Consider the following 12,889-nt stretch of genomic DNA (forward strand, 5'->3'; position numbering starts at 1 on the left):
CTGGTTAGAAAATGACCACTGTCCTAAATGTAGAAATGAAAGAGAAAGTATAACACGGGAAAGGAACATTTTAGGGGGACACACCTTAGAGGTATACAGTGGCTCATTATTTCCTAGAAGTCTCAGGCAAGGGTTCTGAACCTAGGCCTACTGAGTTTCAAGGCTGAGAAATTCCTCTGAAAATGAAGGTGACATGATAGACTGCATGTTTTTCTGCAGATAGGTTCTCAGGCTTGGTTAAATCATTATAAGTATCTGTCACTGAAATTACCAAGATCCATTGGACTAATAACATATTCAAAAACTATGGGAGAGGAACAAATGTAGTTTCTTTTTATACATTTTTTCATATTATATGTAACCTTGGATACCTCCAACATTCTATTTCAATTCCCAGACGATTTTCCAGCTAAAATACATTAGCGCCACCAAAGCGTGGGCAAAATTTTTATCTTCTCATGTTTTCCCGACAGCATTTATCTGAGTCCCAAACCAAATAATTCTGCCTATATATCATGTGAATAACACAAGGAAGTTTATTTTTAGGGGAAAAATGTCTTATCATTCATAATAATCTAATATTTCTGAAATGAATATTGATACCGAATACAATACCAGAAGGTTAGAACAGAACATACATATTTCACTGGAAGAAACTGATTTCCACCTAGTGTCTGTGAAACAGCAGAAGCGAAATTAATGTCTTCTTGCATTGGTGCTGCTGTGCATGGCAATCTCGCCAATGCCGCCAACTCCTAATAAAGGGCTCTCTTGGAACAAAGCTGCCTCTTGTCTGCTTGCTCACAGTATCTATGACACTAATATTCTAATTAGCTATCGCCATTCTCATTATCTTTGTCAGAGAGCTACGTGCTCGTGGATGCAGCCACCTAGCCACGAGATCAGATCTGCATAGTCACACACAAAACACATACACATATGCATGCACATAAAACCTAGACATATCTGCTCTGCAATATCCCATCTCCCCTTGGTTTACAGAATGCATTCCCAGTCTTTTGGGGACTTGTTGGAGGATAAACAGTAAGCCCATGAACGTGTAGTCCAAATTCATTAACGCGGCATTCAAGGCTCTCCAGGTGCCACATCCCTCTTCTCTCTATTCCCTTTGTCCCTTCCCCACCGGAACGCCACTCCTTCTCCATTCTCTCCCTATCCCATGCCTTGTCCTCTGGGCATTGGAGATGGATTCTCACTATCACGCCAAACATACCCCACACCTCCACCTCTGTGTTTCCTCTACCTGAAATTCCCCTCATACTTGTCAAATCTCTATCCCACCTTCTGCCGCCATCAAAATCCCATAAGGTCCATCTCGATCACTCCTCAATTCTCCAACACCCTAAGGCAGAAGCAATGTCTTTTTTTGCTGGACATTTTATGTATTCCTTTTATTATATAACTTATACAACTTTGTCACCACCTTTGGACATTTCATCCCACTGCCTCCCCTGCTCCTGTGCCTCCCACAGGCTCTGCCATATTCCCCTGCTCAGCGTAGAGGGTCCTCAGTAGATGCTGGGGACATGAACTAAGTTGAATGGTAGGATTATAGGAATAGAAAATACTGCAGTTAATAATAAGATCATTTTTAATAAAATTTTTCTCTAGATTCATGAGCATATTTTCTTCTAGCCCTTGACAGAACGAACAATGGAAATGTATTGTTCATAGGTATGTACTATATCGGGTATGCATGAACACTGGCATGTTTGCCATTCTCTTTCAACCTGGGGGCTTAAATTTTCCTTTGCACCAGGCCACTGCCATCTAAGCCCTGCAGGATTTGGGGACCAGATGAGTCCTTGTATGACATCTGATAGTAAGTATTTATTTTATTAACAAACGAGGCCACAAAGAATGTGACCAGTTGAAAACAGAGTTTGGTTTCTTCATGTCTCTCCTTCACCATAGGGATTTTGTCTCTTTCATTGTAGCACTTAGCATAGAGTCCATATCCAACAAGTATTTGAAAATATTTTCTTCCTACTCTTTCATGTTATCTTCATTCAATAGTGAGGGTTTATAATTTTTCCTCCCTTCTTTCCTTCCTTCCTTCCTTTGGAGTTTATTGTGTTGACTTTTTTTTTGCTATCGTTGCGAACATTGGAATATGAGATGACACCCAGGCAGTGCCAGGGCCGAGCAGTGTGTTAAGTATGGCTTCTATTTTGTGAGCTCACACTGCCCTCTCCTGGCCTCTGGGTAGATCTTAAAACTTCACTCGGATTGCAGCACAAAACACATTCCAGCAGGCAGAGAAAGAATGATAATAAATGGGACACAAAATCCTTCCAATATTAATAATCTAATCATTTCAAATTTTAAAAACTATTTGGCTCTACTCTCTATGCTTTTGGTAATTCCAAGCACTTGAAAATATCTATAAAATTCAAAATTCTTAACATTGTCTTTCCATTTTATTTATTTATTTATTTTTTGGTGGAAAGCTTGTTATAATATCTTGAATAAAATGTGGTCCTGGGCCGGGCAAGGTGGCTCACATCTGAAATCTCAGCACTTTGGGAGGCCAAGGCAGGAGAATCACGAGGTCAGGAGTTTGAGACCAGCCTGGCCAACATGGTGAAACCCCGTCTCTACTAAAAATACAAAAAATTATCTGGGCATGGTGGTGGGCACCTGTAATCGCAGCTACTCTGGAGGCTGAGGCAGGAGAATCTCTTGAACCCAGGAGGCGGAGGTTGCGGTGAGCCGAGATTGCACCACTGCACTCCAGCCGGGCAGCAATGCGAGACTCCGTCTCAAAAAAAAAAAAAAAAAAAAAAAAGAAGGTGGTCATGATATTTGATATTTTAGTAAGATGTTTTTGTTTTTGCTTACTTTCTAGTTCTACTTAAGGCTTTTGGTGGTGGTGGTTTGTTTTGTTAGCAAGTGATGTGCAGTCATGTCCAGGCTCTGCCACTCACTAATTAGGTGATCAGGATCTAGGACAAGTCATTTCAACCCTCAGCCTTAGTTCCTTCATCCAGATGTGGCTGTAGAAATACCTACCCTATCTTCCTCACTAGAAATGATAGAAAGATCAAATGAAATATTTTATGTGAAGGCATTTGGAAAACTCTAAGATGCCATACTCATATGAACTATGATGATTATTTCTAGATTTTACAAAAAGACAACTTAACAAAAGATACTAGGTGTTATAATGCCAGGTGAAGTGCAATTGTATTAAAAAGACTTCACTTTTAAACATTAAAAAATTTTAAAGATATATGAATCTAGAAAATATTCTTTGTTTCCTTCCCAAAAACTTCTTAGAATAATATAGAAAATGACACTTTCCTGAGGAATTTTTTTGTATATTATTAGCAAAGGGCAGAATATTGGATTAAAAATCCAGAAAGCCCTGTAATTCTATGTTTTTAAAGCATAGGAATAATCTATCTAATGACAGTATATAGTCTTTAAATAGGTCTTATATCTTCAAAATAAAAATAATAAAACCTCCATTAATACAAAAATAACAAAATTATACAAAAATTAACTCAAGATGGATGAAAGACTTAAATGCAAAACCCAAAACTATAAAATTCTAGAAGAAAATCTAGGCAATACCATTCAGGACATAGGCAGGGGCAAAGATTTCATGATGAAAACGCCAAAAGCAATTGCAACAAAAGCAAAAATTGACAAATGAGATCTAAATAAACTAAATAGCTTCAGCACAGCAACAGAAGCTATCATCAGAGTGAACAGACAACGTACAGAAGAGGAGAAAATTTTTGCAATCAATCCATCTGACAAAGGTCTAATATCCAGAGTCTACAAGGAACTTAAACAAATTTACAACCTCATTAAAAAGTGAGCAAAGACCATGAACAGACATTTCTCAAAAGAAGACATTCATGCGGCCAACAAACATGAAAAAAGATCAACATCACTGATCATTAGAGAAATGCAAATCAAAACCACCACAATGAGATACCATCTCACGCCAGTCAGAATGGTGATTATTAAAAATATACAGAAACAACAGATGCCGGTGAGGTTGTGGAGAAAAAGGAACATTTTACATTGTTGGTGGGAGTGTAAATTAGTTCAACCATTGTGGAAGACTGTGTGATGATTTCTCAGACCTGGAACCAGAAGTATCATTTGACCCAGCAATCCCATTACTGGGTATATACCCAAAGGAATATAAATCATTCTATTATAAAGATACATGCATGCGTAGGTTTATTGCAGCACTATTCACAATAGTAAAGACCTGGAATCAACCCAAATGCCCATCAATGATAGACTGGATAAAGAAAATGTGGTACATATATACCACTGAATACTATGCAGCCATAAAAAGGAATGACATCATGTCCTTTGCAGGGACATGGATGGAGGTGGAAGCCATTATCCTCAGCAAACCAACACTGCATGTTCTCACTTATGAGTGGTAGCTGAATGCTGAGAACACATGGACACATGGCGGGGAAAAACAAACACCAGGGTCTGTCAGAGGGCTTTGCAGGGAGGGAGAGCATCAGAAAGAATAGCTAATGGATGCTGGGCTTAATACCTAGGTGATGGGTTGATCTGTGCAACAAACCACCATGGCACACGTTTACCTATGTAACAAACCTGCACATCCTGCACATGTACCCAGGAACTTAAAATAAAAATTGAAGAAAAAAAAGAGAGAGAAAAGATATTATCTCCAAAAATAAAGTAAATGACAGGGAGAAAAAAATAAATTAAAAAAGGGAATGTGTTTAATCAACATTTGTCTATTTTATGCTCCATGGGAAAAAAAAATGTCAAAGGGAAAGTGAAATCTGTAGAGGAGTTAAACAACACTGGACTTTTAAGTAATTATTCTACTTCTCTCTCTTTCATTGTGCTAATATATTCTTGACCAAGAATTGACATAAAAAAATTTGTACAAACGTATAGGGTACATGAGAAATTTTGTTACAGGTGTATAATGTGTAGTGACTGACTCAAGGTATTCAGAGAGTCCATTACCTAAGTACAATACATGTTTGTTAAGCATAGTCACCCTACTCTGCTACTGAACGTGGAATTTGTTCCATCTTACTGTATGCTTGTTTGTTTAAACCCATTTCTCTTCATCTCCCCCCACTCACACTTCCCAGTCCCTGTTAGCTATCTTTCCACTCTCTACGTCCAAGCAATCAAAATTTTAGTTCCCACATCTAAGTGAGAACTTGTGATATTTGCCTTTTTGTGATTGGCTTAGTTCATTTAAGATGATGACCTCCAGTTCCATCCATGTTGACATGATTTCATTCTTTTTTATGGCTGAATAGTATTTCATTGTGTATATCCATATACCACATTTTCTTTGTCCATTTATCCATTGATTAACACTTAGGTTGATTCCATATCTTCGCTATTGTGAATAGTGCTGCAATAAACATGTGAGTGCAGGTATACCTTTGATATATTGATTTTTTTTTTCTTTTGAGTAGATACCCAATACTGGGATTGCTGGATTCAATGGTCATTCTAGTTTTCATTTTTTGAGAAATTGCCATACTGTTTCTCAGTAGGTGTACTAGTTTATTTACATTCCCACCTACACAGTGTACAAGACTTTCTTTTTCTCCACATCCTTACCTGAATTTGTTACTTTTTTTTTTTTTTTTTTTTTTTTTGAGACGGAGTCTCAATCTGTCACCCAGGCTGGAGTGCAGTGGCTTGATCTCGGCTCACTGCAACCTCCGCCTGCTGGGTTCAAGAGATTCTCCTGCCTCAGCATCCTGAGTAGCTGGGACTACAGGCGCTCGCCACCACGCCCAGCTAATTTTTTGTATTTTTAGTAGAGACGGGATTTCACCGTGTTAACCAGGATGGTTTCCATCTCCTGACTTTGTGATCCGCTCGCCTTGGCCTCCCAAAGTGCTGGGATTACAGGCGTGAACCACCGCGCCCGGCCTCTGTTACTTTTTGTCTTTTTAATAACAGCCATTTTGACCGGAGTAAGATAACATCTCATTGTGGCTTTGATGTGCATTTCTCTGACGATTAATGATGTTGAGCATTTCTTCATATGCCTTTTGGCCATTTGAAGCCTGTCTTCAAATTTGAAGCATTTGGCCATTTGAAGCATGTCTTCTTTTGAGAAATGTTCATTGTTTTACTTCGTCCACTTTTTAGTGGAATCATTTGTATTTCCTGTTGAGTTGTTTGGGTTCCTTGTTTATTCTGGACATTAGTGCCCTTTTGGATGAATAGTTTGCAACTATTTTCTCCTATTCAATGAGTTGTCTCTTCAACTGTTTACTGTTTCCTTTGCTGTGAAGAAGCTTTTAGGTTTAATATAGTCCCATTTGTATGTTTTTGTTTTTGTTGCTCATGCTTGAAATTTTAGTCATAAATTCTTTGCGTAGACCAATCCAGGAAAGTTTTCCTAAGGTTTCCATTGATGTGGAGTTGCGCGGACTGTTGGACCCCAGAGCAGGATGCAGTCTACTGGGAGTTGGGCTCCCAAAGCGGCACTGTGCTGCAGCTGCTTAGTGTGGACTCGGGGTGTGTGGGACCCAGCGGGAGCGCCCTCTTTGGAGCAATGCCATCGCACGGATTCCAGGCAGTTCCCTATGTTAGTCTCGGGGTCTCTGTGGGTCCAGGGGCTCTTCCGTGGCTAGGACTGCGGGAGTCCTCAGTGGGAATGTGGACCACTGGGGGTCAGTCACTTACCCTTCCCCTACTCTGGGGAGCCTGCCTGGGTTTTCAGCCAATCCCAGCCAAGTAGGCTACTTTGCTTCCCTCTCGTTTCTTGGCCTAGGTGTTTCCTGTCACTTTTCTGTTGAATTTTAGTGTTCTCTCTGAGGCAATCTATCCGAAGTATGGCTATCTCCTTGCTGTTTTGGTTCTTCTTTGTAAAGCGGGGTGAGTACTGAATGCCTCTAGTCAGCTGTCTTGAAGCTCCCTACATTGATCTTTTTTTTGTGTTGGGAACATTATCATTCTCTTCTAGCTATTTGGAAATATTTAATAAATTATTGCTGACTATAATTTTCTTCCTGTACTATTGAATACTAGAACTTATTTCTTTTATCTAACTGTATTTTTATACCCCTTAACCAACCTCTCTTTATTCCCTCCTCCCCTTCCCAGCCTCTGGTCACCACGATTCTACTTTCTACCTCCAGGAAATCCACTCTTTTAGCTCCTCCTTATGAGTAAGAACATGCAGTATTTGTCTTTCTGTGCCTGGCTTATTTCCATTAACATAATGACTTCCAGTTCCAGCCATGTTGCTACAAATAACAGGGTTTCTTTTTCTTATGTCTGAATAATATTCCATTGTGTGTGTGTGTGTGTGTGTGTGTGTGTGTGTCACACACAACATTTTCTTTATCTATTTATCCATTGATGGACATTTGGGTTGGTTCCATTCTTGGCTATTACAAATAATGCTTCAATAAACATGTGAGTGCAGATATTTCTTTAATGTACTTATATCCTTTCTTTCAGATATATACCCAGAAATAGGATTGCTAGATCATAGGGTAGTCCTATTTTTAGTTTTTTGAGGGACTTCCGTACTATTTTCCACAATGACTCTACTAATTTACATTCTCACAAACAGTGTACAAGCATTCCCCTTTCTCTGCATCTTCACCAGCATCTGTTGTTTTTGTCTTTTTGATAATAGCCATTCTAACAGGGGAAAGATGACTTTTCATCGTGGTTTGATTTGCATTTTCGTGATGATTAGTGATGTTGAGCATTTTTCAAAGACCCATTGCTCATGTCATGTGTATGTCTTCTTTCGGGAAACATCTATTCAGATCTTTTTGACCATTTTTAAATTGCATTATTGTTTTATTGCAATTGAGTTGTTTGAGTTGTAGTGTGTAGTGGTGATGAGTGAGGTCTTTGCAGTCCTGGACTTGGGGCCCGTTAGTCCAGAGGTCTGCCCCTAATTTGGCCACTTAGTTATTTCAGGTCTGGACAAGGAACGAAACCTGCTCCCATTTCCTCACTTGCAAAGTGAGAATAATATTAACGTTTACCTCACAAGGGGCAGTTGTGAGGATCAGATGAGATAATCCCTGCAAAATATATGATATGGTACCTAGGATGTAGCGCTATACCCAGCACATAACAAGTACTTAAAACTGTGGGCTATCATGTCTGAAGTGAAGCAGGAAAATTTGTAAAATCCCTTTTACAACCTCCAGAAAGAATATAAGAAGGAAAAAGAAAGACATTAGGAAGTGGGAAGAAGAGGGAGAGAAAAATGAGGAAGAAAAAATGATGGAATATTGTGTCACATTCCTTAAAAGATTCTGGCAGCAGAAATTTTTCAGGACACACACATTAAAGGAAAATACATCCCATTGAAACCACCCATTCACAGGGCTGAAAAAGAGCAAGTAGAAACCCTTCAAGTTTGACCTTTGAGCCACTGGAGAGAAACTGAGAAGGCTCTGCAGTCTGTATGTGTGCTGTGCTGCGACACGGACAGGACATGCCATCCTTCAAAAGGCAGTAAGGGCAGGACAGTGGGAGGTAAGAGTGAAGACTCCCACCTACTAACTGTGCAACCCAGGGCAGTGCCCTTAACCTTTGTGTGATCCAGTCTCATCCTATGTAAGATGGGATAGTAGCATCACTTTTTTTCCATAAGGTTACTGTGGTGGTCACATGATTTAATACATGCAGAAGGCTTAGAATGTTCCTGACACATAGTAAGTGCTCTACCATCGTGTTACTGTTGTTAAAGTTATTGGCGTGAGTAAAGGGTGACTGTGAGACCTGAAGTGAGTCACAGAGCTGTAGAGAGAGAACTGGAACGATTTGAAAGTCAAAGTATGTCTTTCTCTTTCTAAAAGTGTTTCTCTCTCTACACATGGATACCTGTCTTTCTATCTATAGAAGTGAGCATATATCTCTATCTATCCATCTATGTTGATGTATCTGTTTGTCTGTCTCTCTGTCTACTGAGAGATGTTACTTCTTTAGTGGTAACGTTGCCACCTAAGGACAAACAGGGGAGCACCTACAGGAAGGAGGAAGAAGAGGAGGAGGTAGAGGGGAATAAGAAATTGGATTTATTTTTCTTGCTGCAGTAAGGGAAAATACATGCCAAAGGACCAACGGAGTATCTCTGCAAGAGGGAGTTTGGGAATTCTGAGGAGGGATCCTGGAAGAGGGGGCTCCTCAGAGGTGGTCCAGAAGGTGGTCATTTCAGCTGTCTCCGTGATCTTAGTTCAGCAGTCAGGAGGAACAAAGTGGAGAATCATTGGTTAGAAAGTGGCCAGCACCTGGAAGATAACAGTGATGGTTTTTGCAGCTGTGGTATGGCCTCTGAGAAACACTGTGTACTTGGGTCTTTTCCATGTCCCATTGGAAGTGCTGCTTATGTTCTGTTAGAAACATCACGGAAAGACTGCTGATGGGGCTATTTACTTTCTCATTAAGGGAATTGTGTGTGTGTGTGTGTGTGTGTGTGTGTGTGTGTGTGTGTGTGATTCCACCTAAAAATAGGGGCCACATAAAGTTTTTACACCTGCTAAGCTAAACAATTCATATACTTTAGCTGCCAGGCAATTCTCTCAGCAAGATAAGATTGTTTTCGTTCCACAGATATAAAGTGCAAAGTTCAAGAACACACAGCTAATAAGCAGTTTGCCCTGATTCTAAACCAGAAAGGCCACATTCTCCCCTCTTCACTCTAGTTTGGCCTCTGCCAAGGTGTCTCCTTGGCCCAAGCTCAGTCACCTTTTTTTTTTTTTTTTTTTTTTTTTTTTTTTTTTTTTTTTTTATTGAGACAGGGTCTTACTCTGTCATCCAGGCTGAAGTGCAGTGGTGTGATCTAGGCTTATTGCAACCTTTGCCTCCCAGGCTCAAGCGATCCTCCCATCCCAGCCTCCCAAGCAGCTGAGACTGCCTCTGAGTGCCACCATGCCTGGCAAATTTTTGTATTTTTTGTAGAAATGGGGTTTTGCCATGTTGCCCAGGCTGGTCTTGAATTCCTAGGCTCAAGCAATCCAACCCACCTCGGCCTTCAGTCAATTTCATAGGGCTCCTTTGTGGTTATTAAACTATTCTAATAACTGCTCTCACTCTTGTGCTCTCTCTCTCTGTTCTCCCACCTTTCACATGTTTTAATAATGTGTACTCACTGGGACTGTACTCTAATATTTTTTAAAACTTGAAAAAAATTGCCATTTAAAAGTTATAAACCATTTCTGCCTGAGTTGAATTTACTTCCAGGGCAGACTCTCCCTTACCCCTTTTCATTTCCCCAAGATAGCCTCACAGCATAGATAAGTAAAAGTTCACCCACTGGGTATGAGTATGGGAACTGAAATGATCGCTAACCTGAACACAGGTGCCTTTGGGAAGTTACACTTCCTTACTGATGTCTCTGAGATGCCTGCCTGCCAGCCTCGGTGTTAAGCATTTTACATGTATTATATATTACTATCCTCATAGGTAACCTGTGATGTTGGAATTATTATTAATCTAAATGTACAGATAAGAAAAGGGAGAAAACAGCAGTTGACTGACTTGCTCAAGGTCACTCAGTAACAAAGAATGGAAGGAGGATTCAAACTCAGAGCCTCTTGATGCCTATCTATCTATCTATCTATACATATATATATATACACATATATATATGCACACAAACACATATACATAACTTAGTATATGTTATAATATATAGATATATATTATACCTATTATCTATCTCTCTACCTATGTGTGTTTACATATGCATATATACACGTGTATATATACACATATATAATTTAGTATATGTAATATATAGATTATATATTCTATCTATGTGTGTATACATAGGTATATATACATATATAACTTAGTACATATTCTAGTATAATATATAGATATATATTCTATCTACCTATCTAGGTGTGTATACATAAGTGTATATATACATGTGTATATATACACATATATAACAGTATATATAATTTATAGATTATATATTCTATCTATCTATCTATCTATCTATCTATCTATCTATCTATCTACCTGTCTATCTATCATCTCTGTCTCTCTCTCTCTATCCATCTATCTTTTAGCAGAATTTTGTCTCTGCAAAGTTCAGGATCAGCAATAGAGACCCTTAAGCTAACATGAAATATGTACAAGGCTGATGGCCACTTTACCCTGCAGGATGAGAGAGTGAAAAGGAGCTGGCCTTTTCAAAACGGCAGGAGAATAGCCTGAGGCTGGCTAATTTCGGCAATCAAGCTGGTGGCAGTTTATCTATAAACATGAGGCTATGAGGCCAGCATGCATGGGTTTTTTTTGTTGTTGTTGTTGTCAAAAAGATGCTTAAGGAAGAAAAGGGAGAAGGAGGAGGAGAAAGAAGTGAAAAAACAAACAATATTTACTAAAGCTGAACTTATGCATAGCCTATGACCTAGCAATTCTATTCCTAGGTGCTCACCCAACAGAAATAGGAACATGTGATCACCTAAAAAGAGGAGTATTTATTTATAGCAGTGCTATTTGTAATAGACCTGAACTGGAAGCTTCCCATTGACATTAATAGTGGAAGGAATAAAGTAATCAGAAATATTAATCAAATGGAATATGATCCAGCAATGAGAATAAACAATTTACTACTGTATGCAACAGATGGATAAATCTCACAATCATATTGTTGAAAAAAGAAGCAAGACACAAAAACATGTAAGCTGTCTGAGTCCATTTATACAAAGTTCAAAAGCAGATCAAACAAATCTGTGCTGGGAGAAGTCCAGGTGTGATACCCTACCTTGTTTTAACCTGATTGACTCTCTCTTATCTGAGAGAGCAGGACAGACTCCACTTTGGTTTCTTCGCTTGCAGCCCCTCGTTCCCCCTGCTTAAGGACATAACTGGTGCAAGCTAACTCCAAGTACATCCAGGAATTGCTTACTGATAAGATACTGAGGCAAGCTGTACTACCCACTCCTGGAAACGTGCTTGGTTGATGGTACCCAAAGCCCCTGCGTTTATCACTTTGTGATAGCTTAAGCCCCTGCACCTGGAACTTTTTATTTTCCTGTAACAGTTTCTGTAACCATTTATCTTTTACTTTTTGCCTGTTCTGCTTTTGTAAAAATTGCTTCAGCTAGACTCCCCCTCCCCTATTTAGACCAAGGTATAAAAAGAAATCTAGCCCCTTCTTCGGGGCTGAGAGAATTTTTGAGCTCTAGTCGTCTCTCGGTCCCCGGCAATAAAGGACTCCTGAATTAGTCTCAAAGTGTGGTGTTTCTCTATAACTCGCTCGGTTACAACACAGGTAGTGCTGACCTTTGTTGCGGGGGTGGGGAAGGTTTGAAAGAGCAGGTAGGGAGTTGCCAGGTACAGGTAATTGTCTATTGCTTAATCAGGTGATGGGTCAGTTGATTAAAATTTGTTGAGTGGTATGCAACGAATATGTGCAACTTTCTGCACTTCAATAAAAAAAAATTCTTAAATGAAAAAAAAAGGACACCTCAACTGAAGATGAGAATGTCTTAGCAGGCATTATCCCCTTGTCACTCCCTGAATCCATGGACAGCAGACCAGATTCTGGGGCCCAAAGTAGAAGGACAGGAACCTGAATGAAGCTTACTCCTTCTCTGGGTGATCACATAATGCCTTAGAAAACAAATGAAAAGGGAGACTGTCTGCATGCCACATGCAAAGTCCTGTAGGGGAGAATAGGCCAAGGATGATGTGGCGTGGTGTGGGATGGCAGAGAGATAGGGACAGGAATTCTGTGGGCAATGCTGGCACTGACTGACAGTGTGTTTTACCTAGAAGGGGCTTTGTTCATCATGCCATATGACCCTCTAACCTTATATTTGGAGAGCAGAAGCCACAATCTACTGAAATAATCTGCCTGAAGCTTTATATTTACTATCTCAAGTCTTTGTAT

At 39.6% G+C, this 12,889-nt stretch overlaps 4 annotated features.

Annotated features, from left to right (window-relative positions):
• Positions 2,095-2,144: an enhancer, noted in NCBI's record as "active region_25143". NCBI's record gives its function as "activates an Ori minimal core promoter by ATAC-STARR-seq in GM12878 lymphoblastoid cells {active_cell/tissue: GM12878}" and the evidence as "EXISTENCE:reporter gene assay evidence [ECO:0000049][PMID:35858748]".
• Positions 8,636-8,685: a silencer, noted in NCBI's record as "silent region_17584". NCBI's record gives its function as "represses an Ori minimal core promoter by ATAC-STARR-seq in GM12878 lymphoblastoid cells {active_cell/tissue: GM12878}" and the evidence as "EXISTENCE:reporter gene assay evidence [ECO:0000049][PMID:35858748]".
• Positions 8,706-8,795: a silencer, noted in NCBI's record as "silent region_17585". NCBI's record gives its function as "represses an Ori minimal core promoter by ATAC-STARR-seq in GM12878 lymphoblastoid cells {active_cell/tissue: GM12878}" and the evidence as "EXISTENCE:reporter gene assay evidence [ECO:0000049][PMID:35858748]".
• Positions 11,249-11,418: an enhancer, noted in NCBI's record as "experimental_90442 CRE fragment used in MPRA reporter constructs". NCBI's record gives its function as "activates a minimal promoter by MPRAs in K562 erythroleukemia cells, with activity observed for the introgressed 6:137971948 variant allele {active_cell/tissue: K562}" and the evidence as "EXISTENCE:reporter gene assay evidence [ECO:0000049][PMID:34662402]".

Source organism: Homo sapiens, chromosome 6 (assembly GCF_000001405.40).
Source record: "Homo sapiens chromosome 6, GRCh38.p14 Primary Assembly".
NCBI lineage: Eukaryota > Metazoa > Chordata > Mammalia > Primates > Hominidae > Homo > Homo sapiens.